We start from the raw sequence: 27,823 nt of genomic DNA, 5'->3' as shown, positions 1-27,823 counted from the left end.
ACAAGCCTAGACTGTGAAGATTACAATAAATACCAAATTCTTCAATGCCCAGACCCGATGAATGTCCACAAGCATCAAGACCATCCAGGAAAACAAAACCTCATCAAAGGAACTAAATAAAGCACCAGTAAAGAATCCTAGAGAGACAGAGATATGTGACCTTTCAGACAGAGAATTCAAAATAGCTATTTTGAGGAAGCTCAATGAAATTCAAGATAACACAGAGGAGGAATTCACTATTCTATCAGATAAATTTAACAAGGACATTAAAATAATTAAAAAGAATCAAACAGAAATTCTGAGTTGAAAAATGCAATTGACATACTGAAGAATGCATCAGAGTCTCTTAACAGCAGAAATGATAAGCAGAAGAAAGAATTAGTGAGCCTAAAGACAGGGTATTTGAAAATATACAGTCAGAGGAGACAAGAGAAAAAAGAATAAAAAACAAGGAACCATGCCTACATGATCTAGAAAATAACCTCAAAAAGACAAATCTAAGAGTTGCTGGTCTCAAATAGGAGGTAGAAAGATAGGGGAAGAAAGTTTATTCAAAGGTAAAATAACAAGGAACTTCCCAAGCCCAAAGAAAGATATCAATATTCAAGTATAAAAAGGTTATAGAATACCAAGCAGATTTAACCCAAATATAAGATTACCTCAAGACATTTAATAATCAAACTCCCAAAGGTTAAGGATAAAGAAAGGATCCTAAAAGTAGCAAGAAGAAATACCATACAATGGAGCTCCAATACACTTGGCAGCAGACTTTTCAGTGGAAATCTTATGTGCCAGGAGAGAGTGGCATGACACATTTAATGTACTGAAGGGAAAAAAAAAAACTTTAATCCTATGTATTAGTTGTTCTTATGTTGCTAATAAAGACATGCCTGAGAATGGGTAATTTCTAAAGGAAAGAGATTTAATTGACTCACAGTTCAGCATGGCTGGGGAGGCCTCAGAAAACTTACAATCATGCCGGAAGGGGAAGCAAACATGTCCTTCTTCACATGATGGCAGGAAGAAGTGACAAGCAAAAGGAGGAAAACCCCTTATAAAACCATCAGATTGTGTGAGAACTCACTTACTATCATGAGATCAGCACAGAGGTAACCACCCCTATGATGCAATTACCTCCCACTGGGTCCCTCCCACAACACCTGGGGATTATGGGAACTACAATGCAAGATGAGATTTGGGTGGGGACACAGCCAAACCATATCATCCTAGAATAGAATACCCAGCGAAAATAGCTTTCAAACATGAAGGAGAAATAAAGACTTTACAAAATAAACAAAGCTAAGAAATTTCAACACCAGACCTCTCCTACAAAAAATGTAAAAGGGAGTTCTTCAATCAGAAAGAAAAGCATGTTAATGAGCAACAACAAATCATCTGAAGGTAACAAACTCACTAGTAATAGTAAATAAACAGAATAATATAGAATATTGTAAAACTCCAATTTTGCTGTAATATTTGTGAACTATTCATATGATGAGGAGAAAGACTAAAAGATGAACTGATCAAAAATAATAACTACAATAATCTTTCAAGACAGTAGAGTAAGATATAAATTGAAACAACAAAACTTAAGAAACAGAGGGGACATGTTAAAGTGTACAGTTTTTATTAGTTTTCTCTTCCCCTGTTTGTTTATGCAATCAGTGTTAAGTTGTCGGCAGTTTACAGTAATGGGTTATAAGACAGTATTTGCAAGTTCCATGGTAACCTCAAATGTAAAAACATACAACAGATACAAAAAAAAAAAAAGAATAAACTAAAACATAACCACCACAGAAAATCCCCTTCACTAAAAGGGAGACAGGAAGAAAGGAAAGAAGGAAGAGAAACCCACAAAACAACCATGAAACAACAAAATGTCAAGAGTAAGTCCTTATCAATAAAAACATTAAATGTAAATAGCATGAATTCTCTATTAAAAGACAAATTAGCTGATGAATTAAAAAACAAGACCCAACAATCTGTTGTCTACAAGAAACACACCACGTATAAAGACTCATATAGCCTGAAAATAAAAGGATGGAAAAAGATATTTTATGCAAATGGAAATCAAAAAAGAGCAGGAGTAGCTATACTTATATCAGACAAAATAGATTTTAAGACAAAAACTATAAAAAGAGATAAAGGGCTGGGTGCAGTGGCTCATGCCTGTAATCCCAGCACTTTGGGAGGCTGAAGTGGGCGGATCACGAGGTCAGAAGATCGAGACCATCCCGGCCAACATGGTGAAACACCATCTCTACTAAAAATACAAAAATTAGCTGGGCATGGTGGTGCATGCCTGCAATCCCAGCTACTCGAGAGGCTGAGGCAGGAGAATTGCTTGAACCAGGGAGTTGGAGGTTGCAGTGAGCCGAGATGGCACCATAGCACTCTAGCCTGGTGACAGAGAGAGACTCTGTCTCAAAAAAAAAAAAAGGGGGGGGGATAAAGAAGGTCATTATATAATGATACAGGGATCAATTCAGCAAGAAGATCTAAGAACTATAAATATATATCCACCCAACTCTGGAGCACTCACATATATAATGCAAATATTATTAGAGCTAAAGAGACAGACCCCAATACAAAAATAACTGGAGGACAGGAGCCATGGCTCACGCCTGTAATCCCAGGTCTTTGGGAGGCCAAGGTGGGCACATCTTGAACTCAAGAGTTCAAGACCAGCCTGGGCAACATGCAGAAACGCTGTCTCTACTACAAAAAATACAAAAAAACTAGGCTGGGCACGGTGGCTCACACCTGTAATCCCAGCACTTTGGGAGGCCGAGGCGGGCGGATCATGAGGTCAGGAGATTGAGACCATCTTGGCTAACACGGTGAAACCCAGTCTCTACTAAAAATACAAAAAATTAGCCGGGCGTGGTGGCACCTGCCTGTAGTCCCAGCTACTCAGGAGGCTGAGGCAGGAGAATGGTGTAAACCCAGGAGGCAGAGCTTGGAGTGACCTGAGATCATGCCCCTGCACTCCAGCCTGGGCAACAGAGTGAGACTCTGTCTCAAAAAAAAAGACAAAAAAACAAACAAAAAAAACCTAGCTGTGTGTAGTGGCGAGCACCTGTGGTCCCAGCTACTTGGGGGGCTGAGGTGGGAGGATCGCTTAAGCCTAGGAGGTGGAGGTTGCAGTGAGCCAAGATCATGCCACTGCACTGCAGCCTGGGTGACAGAGTGAGACCCCATTTTAAATAAATAAATAAATAATAAATAAATAACTGGAGACTTCAACATCCCACTTTAAGTACTGGAAAGAACATCCAGACAGAAAATCAACAAAGAAACACTGGACTTAATCTGCACTACAGACCAAATGGGCCTAATAGATATTTACAGAATATTTCATCAAACAGCTGCAGAATGCACATGCTTCTCGTTAAGCACATGGATCATTCTCAAGGACAGACTATACGTTAGGCCACAAAACAGCTCTTAAAAATTTCAAAACAGTTGAAATTATCTCGAGTATCTTCTCTGACCACAATGGAATAAAACTAGAAATCAATAGCTAGAGGAATTTTGGAAACTATACAAACACATGGAAATTAATATGCTCCTTGAAAGATCAGTGGGTCAATGAAGAATTTAAAAGGGAAATTGAAAAATTTCTTGAAACAAATGAAAATGGAAACACAACATACCAAAACCTATGGGATACAGAGAAAGCAGTACAAAGAGAAAAATTTATAGCTATAAGAGCCTACACCAAAAAAGTAGAAAAACTTCAACTAACCTGACAATGAAAGTTAAAGAATTACAAAAGCAAAAGGAAACCAAACCCAAAATTAGTAGAAGAAAAGAAATAATAAAAATCAAAGCAGAAACAAATGAAATTTGAAGAAAACAATATGAAGAATACAAAAGACCAACAACAAGAAAAGTCATTTTTAAAAGATACACATAATCAACAAACTTTTAGCCAGATTAAGAAAAAAGACAGAAGACCAAAATACAAAAAAATAAGACGTGAAAAAGGAGACATTACAATAACACAGAAATTCAAAAGATCATAAGAAGGCTACTATGAGCAACTATAAGCCAATACATTGGAAAACCTAGAAGAAATGGGTAAATTCCTAGACACATACAACCTACTGAGATTGAACCATAAAGAAATCCAAAACCTGAACAAACCAATAAGAATAAGATTGAAACCATAATAAAGTCTCCCAGCAAAGAAAAGCCCAGGAACCAATGGCTTCCCTGCTGAACTTTACCAAACGTTTTAAGAAGAATTCATATTAATCTTCCTCAAACTAGTCCGAAAAATGGAGGAGGGAATACTTCCAAACTCACTCTAGTAGGTCAATATACCAAATCTTTGTCTGATATCAAAAGCAGACAAAGATACATTTAAAAAAAAAAAGAAGAAGAAGAAGAAGAAAAGAAAACTATAGGCCAATATCCCTGATGAACACTGATGCAAAAATCCTCAACAAAATACTAGCAAACCAAATTCAACAACATATTAAAAAGATCATTCATCATGACTAAGTAGGATTTATCCTAGGGATGCAAAGATGGTTCAACATATGCAAATCATATCAACAGAAGGATGGACAAAACTCTATGATCATTCAATTGATGCTGGAAAAGCATTTGATAAAATTCAACATCCTTTCATGATAAAAACCTTTAACACACTGAGTATAGAAGGAACATACCTCAACACAATAAAAGCCATATACAACAGACCCACAGCTAGTGTCATACTTGTATTAGTCCATTTTTCACACTGCGATAAAGACATACTTGAGACCAGGTAATTTATTAAAAGAAGAGGTTTAATTGACTCACAGTTCTGCACGGCTGGGGAGGCCTCAGGAAACTTACAATTATGGTGGAAGGGAAAGAGGGATGTCTTACATGGTGGCAGGCAAGAGAGGGTGTGTGTCAGCACAGGAAAAGTTACCACTTATAAAACCATCAGATCTCATGAGAATTTACTCACTATCATGAGAACAGCATGGGGAAAACAACCCCCATAATCCAATTATTTCCTACTAGGTCTTTTCCTAAACACCTGGGGATTACAATTCAAGATGAGATATGGGTGGGGACACAAAGCCTAACCATACTGAATAGAGAAACAGTGAAAGCCTTTCTTCTAAGATCTAAAACATGACAAGAATTCCCACTTTTACTATTGTTATTCAATATAATATTGGAAGTCCTAGTTAGAGCAATCAGACAATAGAAAGAAATGAAGGTCATCCAAATTGAAAAGGAAGAAGTCAAATTATCCTTGTTTGTAGGCAATATAATCTTGTATTTGGAAAAACCTAAAGGCTTCACCAAAAAACTGTTAGAACTGATAAACAAATTCAGTAAGGTTGCAGTACACAAAATCAACATACAAAATCAATAGCATTTCTATATGCCACCAGCAAACAATCTGAAATCAGGGAAGTAATCCCATTTACAATAGCTACAAACAAAACTAAATGCCTAGGATTTAACTTAACCAAGAAGTGAAAGATCTGTACAATGAAACCTATAAAACATTGATGCAAGAAAATGAAGAGGACACAGGCAAAAGGGAAGGATATTATATGTTCATGAATTGGAAGAATAAATATTGTTAAAAACGTCCATATTACCCAAAGCAATCTACAGATTCAATGCAAATCCTATCAAAATACCAATGACATTCACAGAAATAGAAAAAAAATTCTAAAATTATTATGGAACCACAGAAGACCCAGAATTGCTAAAGCTATCCTGAGCACAAAGAACAAAACTGGGGGAATCACAATACCTGGCATAAATTACACTATACAGTGATAGTAACCAAAACAGTATGGTACTGGCATATAAACAGACACACAGGCCAATGGAATAGATTAGAGAATCCAGAAACAAATCCACACATCTACAGTGAACTCAATTTCAACAAAGGTATCAAGAACATATATTAGGGAAAGGACAGTCTCTTCAATAAATGGTGCTGGGAAAACTGGATATCTATATGTGGAAGAATGAAATGAGGCCCCCATCTCTCACCATAAACAGCAATCAAACCAAAATGGATCGAAGACTTTAAGACCTCAAACTATGAAATTTCTAAAGGAAAACATTGGGGAAACTCTCTAGGACACTGGACTGAGCAAAGATTTCTTGAGAAATACCCCATAAGCTGCATAAATGTCTTCTTTTGAGAAGTGTCTGTTCATGAAAAAATGCTCACCATCACTGGCCATCAGAGAAATGCAAATCAAAACCACAATGAAATACCATCTCACACCAGTTACAATGGCAATCATTAAAAAGTCAGGAAACAACAGGTGCTGGAGAGGATGTGGAGAAATAGGAACACTTTTACACTGTTGGTGGGACTGTAAACTAGTTCAACCATTGTGGAAGTCAGTGTGGCGATTCCTCAGGGATCTAGAACTAGAAATACCATTTGACCCAGCCATCCCATTACTGGGTATATACCCAAAGGACTATAAATCATGCTGCTATAAAGACACATGCACACGTATGTTTATTGCAGCACTATTCACAATAGCAAAGACTTGGAACCAACCCAAATGTCCAACAATGATAGACTGGATTAAGAAAATGTGGCACATATACACCATGGAATACTATGCAGCCATAAAAAATGATGAGTTCATGTCACTATGCAGCCATAAAAAATGATGAGTTCATGTCCTTTGTAGGGACATGGATGAAATTGGAAATCATCATTCTCAGTAAACTATCGCAAGAACAAAAAACCAAACACCGCATCTTCTCACTCATAGGTGGGAATTGAACAATGAGAACACATAGACACAGGAAGGGCAACATCACACTCTGGGGACTGTTGTGGGGTGGGGGGAGGGGGGAGGGATAGCATTGGGAGATATACCTAATGCTAGATGACGAGTTAGTGGGTGCAGCGCACCAGCATGGCACGTGTATACATATGTAACTAACCTGCACATTGTGCACATGTACCATAAAACTTAAAGTATAATAATAATAATAATAGTAATCATAATTAAAAAAAGAGAAATACCCCACAAGCATAGGCAATCAAAGCAAAAACGCACAAATGGGGTCACATCAAGTTAAAAAGCTTCTGTATAGCAAAAGTAACAATCAACAAGGTGAAGAGACAACTCACAGAATGGGAGAACATATTTGCAAACTACCCATATGATAAGGGATTAATAATCAGAATATATAAGGAACTCAAACAACTCAATAGGAAAAATCTAATGAACAGATTAAAACATGAGCAAAAGATCTGGATAGACATTTCCCAAAAGAAGACATGCAAATGGCAAACAGGTATATGAAAAAGTGCTCCAACATCACTGATCATCATAGAAATGCAAACCAAAACTACAACGAGATATCACGTCACCCCAGTTAAAATGGCTTCTATCAAAAAGATGGGCAATAACAAATGCTGGTGAAAATGTGGAGAAAAGGGAACCCTTGTACACTGTTGGTGGGAATGTAAATTAGTACAACCACCATGGAGAAGAGTTTGGAGGTTCCTGAAAAAACTAAAAATGGAACTACCATATGATCTAGCAATTCTACTGCTAGGCATATATGTGTGTGTGTGTGTGTGTGTGTGTGTGTGTGTGTGTGTGTGTGTATATTTATCCAAAGGAAAGGAAATCAGAATATCGAAGAGATACCTGTACTCCCATGTTTACTGCAGCACCATTCAGGATAGTGCAGACTTGGAAGCAACCTAAATGTCCACCAACAGATCAACTGATAAAGAAAATGTGATATATACACACAGTGAAGTGCTATTCAGCCATAAAGAAGAATGAGATCCTGCCATTTGCAACAACATGGATAGAACTGGAGGTCATTATTTTAAGTGAAATAAGGCAGGCATAGAAAGATAACCTTCACATGTTCTCACTCATTTGTGGGAGTTGAACTTATGGAGATAGAGAGTAGAAGGATGATTACCAGAGGCTGGGAAGGGTAGTCTGGGTGTTAGGGGGGGTGGGAATGGTTAATGGGCACAAAAATATAATTAGATAGAATGAATAAAATCTAGTATTTGATAGTACAACAGAGTGACTACAGTCAATAATTTATTGTATATTTCAAATAACTAAAAGAGTATAATTAAGATTGTTTGTAATACAAGGAAAGGATAAATGCTTGAGGTGATAAATACCCCATTTACCTTGATGTGATTATTACGCATTGTATGCACGTATCAAAATATCTCAAGAACCTTCTAAGTATATACACCTACTAAGTACCCACAAAATCAAAAATTAAAAAAAGAATACTATGTGAATAATGTTTAATCCTCAGTGCATCATAGAAAGAAGCACATATAATATAAATCTGCCCTACTTAGTACAACTTCTGACCATCTAGTTAAGGTGGTATCTGTCAGATTTGTCTACTAGAAAGGTCCCTTTTCCCCTTTTGTAATTGATAAGTAATCTGTAGGGAAATGCCTTTAGACCATGTAAACAGCCTGCTCCCCAACAGAGTTTGACTCAATGATTTTAGTATCTGCTGGTAATTTTTTCCCAATTATCACTTGAATAGTGGTGATTTTCCAACTCTGTTATTTCTTCTATATTTATTGGTTAGCATCTAATTGCTTCTTAAACGGATTTTTAACTAGGTCATTGTTTTTAGTGCGAGCTTAAACTCCACTTTCAGAGTTTTCTGGCACTGCCAGTTACTGAGCATTCTGTGGTTCTATGGTTTAAATTGGATTACTTCTCAGATTTCTCCCTTGCCAGATTAGGATTCATTCTTCTCAGTTTCACTAAATCCATTACCTCTTGTCCATCTGCTTTCCTGCCTCCAAAACTTTATTGATGGTTTGCATACTCACGTTTCTATGACCTTGTGGGTTTATGTCTTTTAAAATAAATTCCTTCACTATCATTTTCATTAGACTTGAGAGTGAACTTACATGTTTGACCCACTATCTTTACTTGAAAGCCCTTTATACTTTCCTTGCTTTCAAACTTTATGTAAATGGTATATTGTATGACATCTTCTGTAGCTGCTTTTTTTTTTTTTTTGCTCAGTATCATTGCTTCTGAGATTTATCCATGTTAAAACATACAGCTCCAGTTCATTCTTAAGTTTTTTTTTTCATTCATTTTAATGAATGATGTTTAACAGGTATGAACATGCTGCAATTTTCTTATTCATTTCCACTATGTTACTAAAAGTGATATTGTGAAGTTTGGGGTGAGGAGTGGGAGGTCCATTTAACCATAAATACATACATACACTCTTTGCAATTTAAGTCATCAGGAAGTAGGATTCTATACATAAAATGGCAATTTTAAGACATTTTAATTCTGTAACTTATAAAATGAACCTAGTAATATTGGGCACAGATAACTTACTCAATGAATGCCAGTTATTTAGAGACAACACTGAAATGGGCCTGAAAAATCCAGAAATAAGATTCCTCTCTGAATGTTAAACTATAAGATCAACACATCATAAGCCAGAGCAGAAATAGGAAAAGGATAAAACAAAAAAATAGCTGCAGGGCCAGTAACATCTGACCAGAGTATAACTACTGTCATGGCATAGGAAATATGTCAACCAGAACCGAGAAGCAAAGAAAAAAATAGAATCACAGAGACAAATGCTGGCAATCCATAAAAACACTGTCCATGGGAAAAGGAGGCTTAACCAGCACCTGGCAATTTTTCTATTACAATTCGTAAGGCTATTTCTAATACAGAGATAGAATTGAAAATTGTAGCCAATTCTCTTTAAATGTTTCCATTGCTAGGGGTCAGACTATCCTTGTTGTAAGGTGAATGCAACATGAAATTTTAAGCCTGAGGCAATTAAACATTTATTTTACTTAACTCCCCTTATTCCAATGTCATATTTACCAAGCAGTCTCCTGTTTTTTTTTTCTGTGCCAATTTCATTTCTTACTGTAAATTAATACATGGGGATTGGCCACCATCTCAAATTCACATGCATTTAGTCACTGTGATGTCCTTTAGGGCCAAGCAACCTTAGACATGAACAAAAGTAAGTCTTTGGAGCCTGCAGCCCAGATTTGAGAATATGGTCAAGTAAACAAGATACTATGATGTGTTGTCCTATCCAGCCATCCCAACCTTTTTTTAGACCGCAGCAGTATCATCTCCAACAGCAGCACCATCTCCAACTCCATTCTCTATTCGTTTCTAGAATCTCCTCTTTCTTTTTTATGGAGTATGTATATTAAAAATGAAGTAGGCTGAACTCTAATATTGTAACTTTTTTCTACTGCCTGTAAACCTATAATAAACCATATAATTTGTCAAAAATTGGCAATAAATGTAACCACTTGTTCAAACAAAAAACTTTACACTTTTCCTATTGTGTTAGTATAAAAAAAAGAAGCAATATTTCAAAGTATTTGCTATAAGTGGCTTCTAATGGAATAGAGTTAGGACTAGGAAAAGTCTACCTCATTAGCTCTGTGAAATGTGAATTCACCTTATACAACACTGAAGAACACATGCTGAACTATTACCAGATGCTCCTCAACTTATGATGGGGTTATGTCCTTATAAACCCATCACAAAATTGAAAATATCTTAAGTCAAAATGCATTTGATACACTTAACCTACCAAACATTATAGCTTAGCCTAACCTGTCTTAAACATGCTCAGAACGCTTACATTAGCTTACAGTTGGGCAAAATTATCTTAACACAAAGCCTATTTAATAATAAAGTGTTAAATATCTCATGTAATTTATTGAATACTGTATTGAAAGTGAAAAACAGAATGGCTGTATGGGTACTCAGAAGTATAGTTTCTACTGAATGCATATTGCTTTTTCACCATCATGAAGTTAAAAAATCCTAAGCTGAACTATCCTAAGTAAGGGACCGCCTTCACTGGTAACCTGCAGGTAAATGTGAATTCCTATGAACAAAATACAGACAACAATCAATTTGGAAATATGTTTACTTTTACAACATTATTTTGTAGTTGGCTGATAGAAATTCAAACCCATCTCACAGAAACCATGTAATTACATAGTATTGAGATTTTTAAGTCTATAATGGCCAATGAAACCAATAATGAATCAGGCTCTGTGTTAGGTGCTTATGACACACAAATGAATAAGTTATAATCCCTGTGCCAAACAGCTAATAGTTAGAAATATGGACAAATAAAACACAGAATTTTAATATTGAACTTAAAGAGTTATACAGGAGTACACAGCAGTGTAGTTATACCGAGAAAGTAGTGATTAGCTCTATCAGTTAAGAAGTTGAGGGAAAAAAAGGTGAGGAAAACAACCAAGGATTTTAAAGGGCCTTTTAAAAGGAATTAAACATAAGCAGGAGTATGCCAGTTGATGGGAGAAGGAGAAGACATTAAACTTGAGAAACAGCAGGGAGTTCCTTGAAGAGTAGGGTAGAGTAGGGTACAGAAGAGTAGGGTAGCCTAAGGAGACAAAGCTAGAAAGTCGGGCTGGGCCCAAATCAGGAAGCCTTGCATAGTATGCCAAGGTGTTAGACCTACTGTTGGCCAGAGCTCCCAGAAAGTGTGACTAAAAATTGATCCCTTCAGTTTTCAAGGTGGCCGGGAGAATTACTGTTTGATCACAGGGTATATGTATGTTTGATTTTATAACAAACTGTCAGTTTTCAAACATGATTGTATCATTTTCACCCCAACCAGCACTGTATAAAAGTTGTGGGTGCTCCAGTGATGGCTGTTGTCAATCTTTTAAATTTAAGCCATTTTAATGGGTGTGTAGTGGTATCTCACTGTGGTTCCACTGATTACTAGTGTTGCTAAGTATATTTTCATATACTTAAAACGTGTCTTACAGAGTGCTTGTTCAAGATTTCTGCCCAATATTTGTTAGCTTCTTTTTTATAACACTGAGTTGAGGTGTTCTTTATATAGCCTAGATACAATTCCTTTGTCAGATATATGTACTATGATTATTTTCTCCTAGTCTTTTGATTTCCTAATGTTCTCTTATAATGAGCATTAGAATTTAATTCTGATTAAATCTGATTAATCTGTATTTTTCCTTTACAGATTGTTCTGTCTCCTGTCTACCTCAAAATTGCAAAGATATTCCATTGTTTTTTTCTTCTAGAAGCACAATAGTTTGGCTTTTATGTCTAGTCTATAATCCATCTTAAATTAATATTTGTGTATGACGTGAGGTAGGGATCAATTTTTCCCCATATGGATATTAAGTTATTCCAGAACCATTTGCTAAAAAGACTTTCCATTCCTAATTGTGTTGTTTTGATGTCATTGTTAAAAACCAACTGGTTGTACAGTATCTACTTTTTGGACTTTTGTTTTTTCCATTGATTTATTTACCCAGTATCCTAATGCCAGTATCATACTGTCTAGATAACTATAGTTTTAAAGTAATTCTTAAAGTCAGACAGTATTAGCCCTTTAATTTTCATCTCCTTTTTCATGGCTGCTTTCAGCTATTCTAGGTCTTTTACATTTCCAAATATATTTTCAAATCAGCATGTTGATTTCTATCAAAAAAGTCTGACATGGTTTTAACTGGATATTCATTTTATTAAATCTATAAATCAGTGGTTCACAAAATATGGGCTATGAACCATCAGCATCAGCATCATCCAGCAACATGTTATAAATGCAAATATTCAGGCCCTACCTCAAAACTAATGGATCAAAAACTCTAAGCTTGGGGTCCAGCAATCTGTGTTTTAACAAGTCTTTCAGGTGATGCAGATGCAAAATAAAAGCATAAGAACTACTGTGGATCAGTTTGGGAAGAATGAATACATTAGCAATATTGTACATTCCAATCCATGAACAGATACTTCTCCCCATTTATTTAGGTCTTATTTAATGTATCTTACCAACATTTTGTAGTTTTGAGTACACAGATCTTGCACATGTTTTGCTCACTAAATTCCACAGTATTCTATGTTTTCTAATACTGTTGTAAATGACATTCTAATGGCTGCTGGCTAACCTTTAGCAATAATATATAGGAGATATGAAAGAAAGTTTATTTGGAGTTGGGTATTCACTAAAAGATCTGGAAAAAAAATCTAGTTTCTGGATCCAGTTGTCAACTTGGAAGGAAAACAGTGGACAGAGGAACATGATGAAGTGCACCAGGAACATAAGATCAGCAAAATCTAGACTGTGGCAAATTCTGTAGGCCAACTGGGCTGGGTATTTTAACACATAAATTTCTAAGGAAGTAAAAGAAATGGAAGAGGATAGACTGAAAGATTTAAAACAAATACGAAGTTTTTACGAAATGGACAAGTCTAAACTATAATGTACATTTAGGTGAAAAAACTATTTAAAATGAGAGGAAATGATTACTATAAAAGTTGGCTTAAGGTTTTCTTTTGTCAAGAGAGAGAAGGTTGTGATTAGGATGGGATATATGGGGCTGAAGTAGATGGCAAAGTTGTGTTTCTTGACCTGGGTGGAATTTGCCTTATAATTTCACAGCTTAATAACTAAATAAGCTATTTTTTTGTTACGGTTTATAAATATATGTTTTACTTTACATTAAGAAAAATTTTTTCCTCTTAATATGATGTATCTAGAATTTGGATTTGAAGAGTGTAAAAGTTACAGTGGTAAGAACTGTGTTTGATAAAAACTAAAGTGTGCCTAATGAAGTGGTTGTTCACTTGAGGCAGGGATACTAGTATGGATGAAGTCAAAGAACTGGAAAGCTAAAATTTGGGAAAGCATTGAAAGGAGAAGACCATATTCCAGGTTCTAATCTCGACCATCAGTAAGGTAGACTGGCTTGGATGTTGGCAAACATAAAAATGATGGTCAGGTACAGAGAAATACACATGGATTACAAAGGTCCTCCACTCTCTTGGGTCCACAAACAAAGACTATTTGGGGAAGCAAGAAGCAGTTGAACTCACTTTCTTTATGTGGGGCGTGGGAAAGCGAGCACAACTTACTTCAAGGAAAAAAAGGAACTCACTATCTTGCAGGCACAGACGGATTTCAGTTGAGGTTCTGTGGTAGAGAAAGTTTCCAGGAAAATATTAATGGTGAATGGTAATTTGCTAACAAAGAAACAGAAATTCCTGAAACACAATGGAAAGGGCCAAGAGGAAGGAAAAGAGTGTGTGTGTGTGTGTGTGTGTGTATTAGGGAGGGTACGAAGCAGCATAAAGAACAATGTGATTGATAGTACACTTAAAGGGAGGCAACAAAAGAGGGCTCATTTTGGATAATCAAAATTAACAAGAGTGAGCTCAGGGATGGAAGGACTTGGTGTGTTCTGGCTAGAGATTGTTTGAGGTGCTGAAATTACCTAAAATTTACAGAAGTTGTGCCTGAGGCCCAACTATTGCAATTGCCTCCATTAATCACTTTGCATATTAATGTTTCTATGAATAAGGCTTTCAAAGTTCTGAGGATGGATGAAGCAAATGATAACAGTAGCTCTTATTATGACCAAGAGAAGGAGAATCAGAAGGCTCTTCAATCCATCCTTCACTGTAAACTACTGGGCATACTTCTGAATCCTGGATCATATTGCCTTTTATTTTTTCCCCCCAAAACAGCTTTTATTCCAAATTTTATCAATGTTGGAAAGAAGGGTCTGCGAAAAGTAGGCCAAGGCAGAAGCAACATACAAAGCTAGAAATGGGTCAAGAGATGTACTCAGTCAGACCCTGGCCGAATGAACATTAATGGGTTCAGTATATGACAAATGTATGGAGCAAATAAACATAAGCATGCCAGTTGAGGTATCATCATTATCCTGCTCTAGAGCACTCCACTTCCCAACAAATGGGGATTGAGTACCGGAGCCCATTTATGTTGTCATCAGGGCTTGTAGTAGTGACAGAATAGGCAACAGAAGAGAGGAGGGAAGTCCTAAATAGTAGAAGAAAGGGAATGCCTCTAGACAAAAAGTAAACAAGGCAGTACACTAATGCATTTAGAGACTCTCCTTTTATGAAATTACTTCTTATAAAATAACTTTAGAGGTCTTTACATATTTTTAAAATTAAAATTATAATTTTTATAAAATAATCTATATAAAAATTATATTGTAAAACATATATACCATAGCATTTCTATGTTTTTTTATTGTTTATCACTGACTACAAATTTTTTAGTTTTAAATAAAAAGTCAACTAATAATTACTGTTATAAAATAATTGCTAATTCTGTATTTTAAAGTTTCTTTGGATACTTGATGGATTTAAATACATAATATTAAGGGAAACATAAGAGCATGATTTGGACAAGACAAAGAGATTCAGTGTTTCTCAAACTTTTCCACAAAAGCTTGAGTATTGGCACAGAGAACCCCCAGGGCCCAGGGGAAATAACCTGGTGCAAACTGCTCCAAGTTCAGACTTTCTACAGAGTGTTTTAATTTTGTTTTAAATTTTTATTATTTCACTTTAAAATTTATACAAATTTTGTTATATTCCATAATATGAGCATTTATTTTATCATATATTATTTTATTAATAATATAGGTTTATATATTAATTTATTATAAAATGTTTTAAGTTATTTTCTGTGATGGAATAAAATCAACACTTTGAGAAAATACATCATAGTTTTTCTGAAGCTTCGTATATCCTTGGGAATATATACTCCTAAATGATATCCTCCTTGTGTAGTCTTACCTCCATAGTAGGTGGAGTCTTTCTTGTTCTTCTAATCCAAGCTAGAAAGAAAAATAATATTTAAATGTCAGTTTCCCATAATTTACACAAACATTTTTATCCATAAAACAAATTTTTTTGAGTACCTACTCCATATTATTTTAGGTACTGGAGATACAGCAGGGAATAAAACAGATTAAGTCCCTTCTCTACTGTAGCACATGTACTACTGAAGGGGTTGCAGAAAATAAACACACAAACATATGGTTGGTGGTGATATGTGTCATGAAGAGAATATAATAGTGTAGAGAAGATAAAGAGGGGACAGTTTCATATGTTTAAAATCATACCTCCTAATCATCTAAATTCGACTGGGTATATTTATGGCATACAAGCCAAACCAAAATACAGCAAACTTCAAGACAATATCAAAATTATATTATTCTGGAAATTTGAATTAGTTACTGTTCAATTTATAAAGGAAGGGACTTAGAAAAGTTTTTCATTTACAGAGGTTTCTTTTCTGATTTGCTCCAGCAAGCAAAAATATCATCAGGCCTTAGCTCTAACACTTGGCAGATGGGCTGCAGAGATAGAGCCCACATTTGTTAAGTGGCTGCTGGGGCCTGGGTACTGTGCTGGATGCTTTGCAGCAATGGGAAGGGAGTGGGGCAGCTGCCTTTAGGGAAGTTATCAGAATCACATGGAAGACAGTATAGTATAGTGCTTATGAGATTCTAAAGTCAGATTTTCTGGGTTCAAATCCCAGCTTCATCACTTACTGTCTGTGTCACCTGGAGCAAGTTATTTAATTTTCTAAGCATCAGGCTTCCCATCTATAAAATGGAAATTATAAAAGTATCTACACTTCAGGGTTGTTGTGAAAATTATATAAGATAATATACATAAATGTTTACTTTGAAGCCTGGCACATAAGTCTAAGTTATTAGTATAATTATTACTATTATTCAATAAATCTCTTAAAAATAAGACTCAAAAAACAAAAGATCAATAATATCTGCTTAGCCTGCAATGTTGTATAGGAGACTGTGAGAAAATATATTGTAGGGAATATGATCTTGAAGGCCACTGTTTTATCATTTCAGTTGATTCACTCTTCACTACAAAATTGAAGAAATAGAAATAAAATGAATTCCTCAAATTTATACATTAAGTAGTAATGGTTGTATTTGAATTCAGATCTGACCCTGTCTCTGGCTCTAAAAACCATCCACGCTCAACTAAGCAGTCTTTCAAAGTTTATGAACAACATGCAAAGAATATTAAACCAGAAAGAGAAAGCCAGGCTAGGTGTGACCCTAACTACATGTTAGAAAAATAAGAATTATTGATCCCATTTTAGAGATTTGGAAACTGAGGCCCAGAGAGATTAAGAAACTTTCCTAATGCCATATAATTAGCGACTGGGAATTAAACCCTGGTTGAACTGGCTCTAAAGTCTTAGCTTTATCCATTCACCAGCCACTATCTCTTGTGACCAGCTCTAACAGCCAGCCTTATTCATTTAGGCACAGACTGTCACTGACTTACAGTAGTTTGACTTAGGATTTTTGACTTTACCATGGTATGAAACCATTCTGTTTTTCATTTCAGTACTTATTCAATGAATTACATAAGTTATTCAAAACTTTATTATAAAGTAAGCTTTGTGTTAGATGATTTTGCCCAACTGTAGGTTAATGTAAGTGTTCTGAACACATTTAAAGTAGGCTAGGCTAAGCTATGATGTTTAGTAGTCTAGGTGTATTAAATGCATTTTCTACATGATGATATTTTCAACATATGATAGGCTTATTGGGACATAACCTCACTGCAAACCAAGGATCATCTGTAATAGCACCAGGACTTGTCTTCATAAAAAGCCCAGCACTGAATGGTTTGTGGGGGTGGAAACAGCAACATTCAACTGCGGGCTTGGGATCAGTCATTTCCCCCTGCTCTATTCTCTCTTGCACTTATCCCTTACATGTATCTCCAATACAGTTCCAGTGTTCTCCATTCTCTACTACTGTTTCTAAATTTCTACCCTTGTTATTCTTTCTGCATTCTGTTTCCTTCTTTCTTTTTTTTTGAGACAGTCTCGCTCTGTTACCCAGGCTGTAGTGCAATGGTGTGATCTCAGGTCACTGCAACTTCTGTCTCCCGGATTCAAGTGATTCTCTGGCATCAGCCTCCCAAGTAGCTGAGATTACAAGTGCTCGCTACCATGCCCAGCTAATTTTTGTATTTTTTGTAGAGATGGGGTTTCACCATGTTGGCCACGCTGGTCTTGAACTCCTGACCTTCAGTGATCTTCCCACCTTGGCCTCCCAAAGTGCTGGAATTATAGGCGTGAGCCACTGCACCCAGCCTGTATTCTGTTTCTATTAGCTTTTACTCCTATTTGGCCAATTTCTAGCCAAAACTTGTACAGATTTTTTTTTTTTTTTTTTTTTGCAATGGTGTCTCACTCTGTTGCCAGGCTGGAGTGCAGTGACGCAATCTTGGCTCACTGCAACCTCCGACTCCCTGGTTCAAGCAATTCTCCTGTCTCAGCCCCCCGAGTAGCTGGGACTACAGGCACTCGCCACCACGCCCAGCTAATTTTTGTATTTTTAGTAGAGACGGGGTTTCACCGTGTTGGCCAGAATGGTCTCGATCTCTTGACCTCGTGATCTGCTCGCCTCAGCCTCCCAAAGTCCTGGGATTACAGGCGTGAGCCACCACACCTGGCCAACTTGCAAAGGTTTTAATCTCCCTTGTGAGTCTGTAAGGTTGTCAAAGGCAGGAGGTACCCATGGGAGATTTATTTTTCTGTCATTTTAAGTACCTACTCTTTTGGGGTATTTACTCTTTTAAATGCTATAAAAGAGGTGGTACTTTAAAAATTATTGAATGAATATTTTGAAAAATATTTGTTCTATCAGGATTTTGATCTTTATTAGAAAATCCAGCTTAGCAATACCACAATTCCTTTGTGTAGTCAAGGAAATAAGTGACTTTGGGAATTTTTCAATTGCCTCTTTATGGCCCAAATTAAAGTTACTTAGATTCAGGCCAAGATGGACGACTAGAAACAGCTAGGGTACGTGGCTCTCATGGAGAGCAACCAAAGGGGCGAGTAAATATAGCCCCTTCAACTGAAACATCCAGGTACTCGCATTGGTACTAATCAAGGAAACAACTCGACCCCTGGAGAATGAAGAAAAGCAAGACAGCACAACAGCCCACCCTGGAGCGACATGGAGCCAGGGGAACCTCCCCCACCTAGGGAAGTGGTGAGTATTCAAATGTGTGACCCTGGGAAACCATGCTTCTCCCATGGATCTTTGCAACCCTGAGTCAGGAGATCTCCTCCTAAACCCACTCCACCAGGGCCTTTGGTCTGACACAGAGCTGTGTGGACTCTTGGCAGAGCAGCCACTCAGGCACGCACAGAGGCGCAGCTCTACATACTTAGGCTCCACACTTCCTGGCAATAGTGACTGCAGCTCTGTCAAGGCAGGAGGTTGGACCTCTGTACATACCCCTAGGAAGAAGGCTGAATCGAGGGGGCTAAGCAGTGATGGTCCGCAGGCCCCACTTCCACAGTGCCTCAAAGGACAAGACCCACTGGCTTAGAATTCCAGCCAACCACTGGCAACAGTGTCGCCCCCTACCTGGGACAGAGTTCCTTGGGGGAGGGAAGGGCCACCATCTTTGCTGTTTGGATAACTCTGCAGTTCCAACCTGTGAACTTTGGAGAGTCCAAACCGACCAGAAACAAAAGGGATCTCCCAGCACAGCACAGTTGTTCTACCAAAATGTGGCCAGGCTGCTTCTTTAAAGTGGCCCCCTGATCTGTTCCTCCTCCCCGGGCAGGAGCTCCCCACTGGGGCCTCCAGCCACCCTGCCCATGTTCTCAGGCTGACAGAGATTTGAGAACTTCCTGAGACAGAGCTCCCAGAGGGAGAGTTAGGCCGCCATCTTTGCTGTTTCGGTGACATAGCCATTCCAGGCTCCGGGCTTTGGAGAGTCCAAGTTGACCAGGGGTGGAAGCGGTATCCCAGCACAGCACAGCTGCTCTATGAAAGCATAGCTAGACTGCTTCTTTAAGCAGGTCTCTGATCCTGTTCCTCCTAAATGGGTGAGACCTCCTAACTGGGGTCTCTAGCCCCCTCCTACAAGTGCATTCAGGCCGGCAACAGGTCTGTATCTCCCTGGGAAGGAGCTCCCAGAGAAAGGCGCAGGCTGCCAGCTTTGCTGTTTCGCAGCCTTCATTGGTGATGTCTACAGGTACTGGAAAATTCAAGGTGACTAGGGACTGGAGTGGATCCCCAGAAAACTGCAGTAGCCCTATGGAAAACTGACTAGACTATTAAAAGAAACAAACAAACTAAAAAATAAAAACCCATCCAAAGGTCAGCAACTTCAAAGATCAAAGGTAGATAAGTCCACAAAGATGAGGAAGAATCAGTGCAAGAGCACTGAAAACTCAAAAAGCCAGAGTGGCCTCTTTCCTCCAAATGACCACATCACCTCTCCAGAAAGGGCTCAGAACTGCGCTTAAGCTGAGATGGCTGAAATGACCGAAGTAGAATTCAGAATATGAATAAAAACAAACTTCACTGAGCTAATGGAGCATGTTGTAACCCAATGCGAAGAAGCTAAAAATTGTGATACAACATTGCAGAGGCTGACGGACAAAACAGCCAGTATAGAGAAGAATGTAACCAACCTGATAGAGCTGAAAACCATAATACAAGAATTTCATAATGCAATCACAAGTATTAATAACAGAATAGACCAAGTTAAGGAAAGGATCTCAGAGTTTGAAAACGGTCTTTCTGAAATAAGACAGGCAGACAAGAATAGTCAAAAAAGAATGAAAAAGAATGAACAAAACCTCTGAGAAATATGGGATTATGTAAACACACCAAATCTGATTGATTGGTGTATCTAAAAGATACGGGGTATCGCTGACCCCATAGAAAGAAAAACCATCAGAGAATATTATAAACACCTTTATCCACATAAACTAGAAAGTCTAGAAGAAATTGATAAATTCCTGACACATACACCATCCCAGGACTGAACCAGGAGGAAACTGAATCCCTAAACAGACCAATAACAAGTTCTGAAATTGAGGCAGTAATAAATAGCCTACCAACCAAAAAAGCCCAGGACCAGACAGATTCATAGCTGAATTCTACTAGATGTACAAAGAAGAGCTGGAACTATTCCTACTAAAACTATTCCAAAAAATTAAAAAAGAGGGACTCCTCCCTAACTCATTCTATGAGGCCAGAATCACCATGATACCAAAACCTGGCAGTGTTTGATACCACAAAAAAGGAAAACTTCAGGCCAATATCCTTGATGAATGTCAATGCAAAAATCCTCAACAAAGTACTAGCAACCTGAATACAGTAGCACATCAAAAAGCTTATCCACCACAATCAAGTTGGCTTCATCCCTGGGACGCAAGGCTGGTTCAATATATGCAAATCAATAAATGTGATTCATCACATAAACAGAACTAAAGACAAGAACCACATGATTATCTCAACAGATGCAGAAAAGGCTGTCAATTAAAATCAGCATCCCTTCATGTTAAAAACTCTTAATAAACTAGGCATTGAAGGAACATACCTTAAAATAATAAGAGCCATATATGACAAATCCACTGCCGATATATGGAATGGGCAAAAGCTAGAAGCATTCCTGTGATGGTTAATATTCAGTGTCAGCGTGATTGGATTGAAGGATAAAATATATTGTTCCTGGGTGTGTCTATGAGGGTGTTGCCAAAGGAGATTAACATTTAAGTCAGTGGACTGGGAGAGGCAGAACAACTTTCAATCTGGGTGGGTACCATCTAATCAGCTGCCAGCATGGCTAGAATAAAGCAGGCAGAAGAAAGCGGAATGAGCAGACTTGCTGAGCCTTCTGGACTTACTCTTTCTCCCATGCTGGATGCTTCCTGCTCTCGAACTTCAGACTCCAAGTCCTTCAGTTTTTAGATTCTTGAACTTACACCAGTGATTTGCCAGGGACTCTTGGGCCTTCAGCTGCAGATTGAAGGCTGCATTGTCAGCTTCCCTACTTTTGAGGTTTTGGGACTCAGACTTGCTTCCTTGCTCCTCAGCTGCAGATGGCCTATTGTGGGACTTCACCTTGTGATCGTGTGAGTCAATTCTCCTAATAAACTCCCCTTCTTATATTCATATATCCTATTAGTTCTGTCCCTTTAGAGAACTCTGACTAATACAATTCCCTTGAAAAGTGGCACAAGACAAGGATGCCCTCTCTCACTACTTGTATTCAACATAGTATAGGAAGTTCTGGCCAGGGAAATCAGGCAAGAGAAAAAAAGTAAAGGGCATCCAAATAGGAAGAGAGGAAGTCAAATTATCCCTGTTTGCAGATGACATGATCCTGTATCTAGAAAACCCCACTGCCTCAGCCCAAAAGCTTCTTGAGCTGATAAGCAACTTCAGCAAAGTCTCAGGATACAAAATCAATGTGCAAAAATTGCTAGCACTCCTATACACCAACAAAACTCAAGCAGAGAGCCAAATTACAAACTAACTCCCATTCACAATTGCCACAAAAAGAATTAAGTACCTAGGAATACAGTGGAGGTGAAAGATCTCGATAAGGAGAACTACAAACCACTGCCCAAAAATCAGAGATGACACAAACAAATGGAAAAACACTCAATGCGCACGGACTGGAAGAATCAATATTGCTAAAATGGCCATACTGCCCAAAGCAATTTACAGATTCAATGCTATTCCCATTAAATTACCATTGACGTTCTTCACAGAACTAGAAAAAAATATTTTAGAATTCATATGGAACCAAAAAAGAGCCTGAATAGCCAAAGCAATCCTAAACAAAACAAACAAAACAAAAAACAAACAAACAAAACAAAGCTGGAGGCATCACACTACCCAACTTCAAACTATACTACAGAGCTATGGTAACCAAAACAGCATGGTACTGATACAAAAACAGACACATAGACCAATGAAACAGAATAGAGAGTCCAGAAATAGGACTGCACACCTACAGCTATCTGATCAACAAACCTGACACAAACAAGCAATGGGGAAAGAATTTCTTATGCAATAAATGGTGCTGGGATAACTGGCTAGCCATATGCAGAAAATTGGAACTGGACCACTTCCTTATACACACACAAAAATTAACTCAAGATGGATTAAAGACTTAAATGTAAAACCCAAAACTACAAAACCTCGGAAGACAACTTAGGCAATACCACTGAGCATATAGAAATGGGCAAAAATTTCATGAGAAGACACCAATTCTCAAAACAAAATTTGCAATTTTGTTGCAATTGCAACAAAAGCAAAAATGGACAAATGGAATATAATTAAACTGAAGAACTTTTGCACAGCAAAAGAAACTATCAACAAAGTCAACAGACAACCTACAGACTGGAAGACAATTTTTACCAACTATGCATCTGACAAAGGTCTAATATTCAGCATCTGTAAGAAACTTAAACAAATTTACAAGAAAATAAAATAAACAACCCCATTAAAAAGTAGGCCAAAGACATGAACAGACGCTTCTCAAAAGAAGACATACATGTGGTCAACAATCATAAAATAAAAAGCTCATTACTGATTGTTAAAGAAATGCAAATCACACCATCTCACACCAGTCAGAATGGCTATTATTAAAAAGTCAAAAAATAACAGACACTAGCAAGGTTGCAGAGAAAAAGGAATGCTATACATTGTTGGTGGGAGTGTAAATTGGTTCAACCATTGTAGAAGACAGTGTGAGATTCCTCAAAGACCTAAAGACAGAAATACCATTTGACCTAGCAATCCCATTACTGGGTATAAACCTAGAGGAATATAAATCATTCTATTATAAACACACATGCATGTGTATGTTTATTGCAGCACTATTCACAATAGCAAAGACATGGAATCAACCTGAATGTTCATCAGCGATACACTGGATAAAGAAAATGTGGTAAATATACACCATGGAATACATGCAGCCATAAAAAAGAACAAGATCATGCCTTTGTAGGGACATGGATGGAGCCAGAAGCCATTATCCTTAGCAAACTAACACAGGAACAGAAAACCAAATAATGCATGTTCTCACTTATAAGTGGGAGCTAAATTATGAGAACACATGGACACCTAGAGAGGAACAACACACACTGAAGCCTATTGGAGGGTGGAGGATGGGAGGAGGGAGAGGATCAGGAAAAATAACTAATGGGGTACTAGGCTGAATACTTGGGTGATTAAATAATCTGCACATCAAAATCTCCAGACACACATTTACTTATGTAACAAACCTGCATATGTACCCCTGAACTTAAAATAAAAGTTTTTTTAAAAATAAAGTTACTTATGTATAATTATGATTTTTTTTCTAGAAAACAGCTTCCTTTTAAAATAACTCAACATGAACTATATATCTATAAAAGGTTTCAGCAATATATCTTCAGTTTTAATGTAGAGTAGAAGTTAATTCTAGCTTTAGAAAAATCAACTTCTAGGACAGGTGTCAGCAAAGTATAGCCTGCAAGCCAAGTTTAGCCTACCACTTTTTACATTTTTTTAATGGTTGCAAAAACATCAAAAGACGAACAGTATTTCATGACATGAAAATCATAGAGAATTCAAAATTTCAGTGTCTAGAAATAAGGTTGATTGGAACACAGACAAACATTTGTTTACATATTATTTGTGGCTGCTTCTGTGCTACAACATTAGAGTTGAGTAATTGTAACTGACTAAGTGGCCCATAAAAAACCTAAAATATTTACCATCCGGACCTTTAAAGAAAAAGTTTGCCAACTCCTGTGCCAGGGCTACAATTAAGTATAATCCCTTTAGCGAAAAATACATATTTTGATGCAAAAACACTTTCATATTATTTAAAATAAAAATCATTATTGATTATTATACTTTTAACTAATGATTACCATGTATTCTAGAGTCTATGAAGACACACCAGTGGGCATAAGACCATGCTGAAAAAGTATAATGGCATAATGCACACTTATCGTCACCATGAGAAAAACAACTCTAAATAACAATCTGCCCTACTGATGAGTCTATAAAACAGCATTTTCAGTTCTCTTGTAAGGCTGAAAAAAAAAATACTTCAATTGAATACAAATCATTAAAAAAATTCCAAAGTAGTTAAAGAGGTTGGAGAAACTCTGTTATATGTTTTCTAAAGCTTACTGGTTTTGCATAAGTTTATAAAATTCATCCATTAATATAAGAATGTAATAGAACTTAAATACTGAATGTATTATAATAAATATTGCCTAGTCTATTTACTGTCAGGGGACTTCTTTTAGCTTCATTTTCAATGACCATTTAATGAATCTTGGTTTTACACAGATACATAAACATAACTACTGAAATAAGCTTGTATATTTATAATTGTACAATAACCAGATACTTGAAATGTCCTGTTGGGATGATGAGTGATGCCACTACTATTTGTTATGCATCCTGTAAAGGCTACAGCCGGAAATGCTCAACGTGACCACTTATTTGTAAAATCATACCCAATTTCCCAACTACTACATACAACAAATGACCAGCTGAAGTTTGCATTAATATCAAGACATTACTTTGTTGTTTTTGTTAACTTCAAAACAGTCTGAAACTGAACCATTATCCAATTATAAATTATATAATTTTGCCACTGCTAGTGATATTTATGTGGTGAAATCTGTATCAGTCCTCATTATAATGTAAACATTGTTTGAAATGAATTTAGCAAGATAACTGGACAGTTTACACCTTATGATCCTAGCATTCTTTCGTCAATATTCATTTGCATTCTCATCAGCATGTATGAGATTTTCACTGAACTTTAATATTCCTATTAGAATATAAGCCACTATAATAAGATTAAAGGTGAGTATGCAAATTAAAGCACCCTTTAATCACTTAAAGAGACTAGAAGAATCAAGCAAGAAAATACTTCATGAAGCATACACTCTTCAAATCTCCACAGGTGCTAAAAATGGCAAGTACACCTTTAGAAGCGTTGTCAATAGAGGCTAAAGTAAATGAAATACTCTATCACCAGATCCAGTAGGTAACCATTCAGAACCAAAATTACGGAAAGGTTATCAATAGTCTGCATCCAAAAGATATTGCATTAGAAATATGTGCTTACTTCACTTACAGAAGAGACTGTAATAAAGCCTCATCTTTAAAAAAATGATCTTTGCTAGTTCTGAGTGCTGACACTTCATAAAGGACTATAAAAATAAGAGATCCACAGTTTTTACTGTGAAAATCCTTCAAAGGATATATTATGAAACAAATCATTTTCCAATTATTGACTTTTAAGGATATCTTAGGGATATTATTAAGTTGGCATCTTTAAGTTACAAATTTTGTGGTGCTCATGGCTATTACTGTCTTTTCTCTTAACTTTATTGAGGTATAATTTACAAAATACTGTGAGCCATTTCAAGTGTGCAATTCCACAACTTCTAACAAAAATATTTACAATCCTGTAATTAGCACCACAATCAACAGACAGAACATTTCCATCACCTATAAAAGTTCCCCAGTCTGTTTACATGGAAACACCCACCTTATCCTACCCATAGTCCCCAGGCAATGAGTGATACTCTTAAGGTAGCCTACACAACCACCACCTCCTGGTACTCATACATTTGTATTATCTCTTCTCCTTGAATGAGGGTAGGACCCATGAATTCTAATTATAAGAACACGGCAAAGGTGATGGGATATATGTGCTCATGTGATTACGTTATATAAGATTATGGTGCTCATCTTGGCTGGAGTATTTTTCCCCCTGGCTGGCTGTAAGGAAAATGTGGCCATATTGGGAAACACCATTGGCAAGAAATTGCCAGTGACCTCTAGGACTCAGTGTGGTCTTTGGCCAACAACCAGTGAAAAAGTGAAGCTCTCAGTCTTACAACAGCAATGAACTGAATGCTGCCAACAACCACACAAGTGGGATGGTAGAGCTTTTCCTAATCAAGTCTCTAGATGAGAACCCAGCCTTGGGTTGATTACAGCTTAGTGAAACCCTTAACTAAAGAACCTAGCTAGGCTGTGCTTGGGCTCCTGATGCACAGAAACTGTAAGATAATAAATGTGTCTTATTTTAAGCTATTATTATTGTGGTAATGTTGACATACAGCAATAAAAACAAACATAATGAGCATATCAGCAGTTCATTATTTTTTATTGATGTGTAGTATTCCTTTGCATGGAAGTATGACAATTTGTTTATCCTCTCACTTGTTGGACATTTTAGTGGTTTTCAGTTTTTGGCTATTATGAATAAAGCTGCTGGGAAAATTCCGGTACAAGAATTTGTTTGGACTTATGTCTTTATGTCTCTGGGTGAATACTTAGCCATAAAATGTCCAGGTTGTAGGATAAGTGTGTATGTTTAAACTGATAAAGAACTAATAAACTGTTTTCCAAAGTAGTTGTAACATTTTACACTCTAGTCAGAAATATATGAAAGTTTCAGGTACTTTACATCTTCATGAATGTATTGTCAGTTTTGTTGGTATTATCAATTTCTAAAATATTAGTCAGTCTAGTTGTATGTAGTGGTACTTCACTGTTGTTTTAATTAGTATCCCTTGATGACTACTGATTTTATGTATTGTCTTAGTCTGCTTCGGCTGCCATAACAAACCACCACAGACTGAGTGGCTTAAACAACAGAAAGTTATTTTCTCACAGTTCTGGAGGCTGGAAGTCTGAGATCAAGATGCCAGTATAATCAGCTTCTTTCTGGGGCTTCTTCTCATGGCTTGTAGGCAGCCATCTTCTCAATGTGTACCCATATGACTTCTTTTTTTGTGCATGCTCAGGGAGAGAGTACAGCTCTCTGGTGCCTCTTCTCCTACGGGCACTAATATTATCATTAAGGCCTCACCCTCATGACCTCATCTAACTCTAATTACCTCTCAAAGGTCCCATATTTCTAAATACCACCATATTTAGAGTTAGGGCTTCAACACATGAATGGGGTAGAAGAGTGTGGGGGAACCACATTTAGTCCACACCATAAATCCTCTTTGGTAAAGTGTCTGTTTATACCTTTTGTCCATTTTAAAATTAATGTTTCTCTCACTGAGGTATGAGAGTTCTTTACATATTCTGAATATAAGTTCGATGTTAGACATGTATGGCAAATTTTTCTCCCTGTCTATGGCT

At 37.0% G+C, this 27,823-nt stretch overlaps 1 protein-coding gene across 1 annotated transcript in view; it reads right to left on the bottom strand.

Moving 5' to 3' along the window:
• Positions 1-27,823, bottom strand: part of NDUFAF2 (NADH:ubiquinone oxidoreductase complex assembly factor 2) — a 207,822-nt gene that overhangs the window by 38,368 nt on the left and 141,631 nt on the right. The window contains exon 3 of the mRNA NM_174889.5: positions 15,627-15,667. Within this exon, the coding sequence (NP_777549.1) occupies positions 15,627-15,667 (41 nt within the window). The remainder of the gene's footprint in view (positions 1-15,626; positions 15,668-27,823) is intronic.

This window comes from Homo sapiens, chromosome 5 (assembly GCF_000001405.40).
Source record: "Homo sapiens chromosome 5, GRCh38.p14 Primary Assembly".
Classification (NCBI taxonomy): domain Eukaryota; kingdom Metazoa; phylum Chordata; class Mammalia; order Primates; family Hominidae; genus Homo; species Homo sapiens.
The sequence above is the reverse complement of the archived record's forward strand: the minus strand, read 5'-3'. Positions and strand labels throughout refer to the sequence as shown.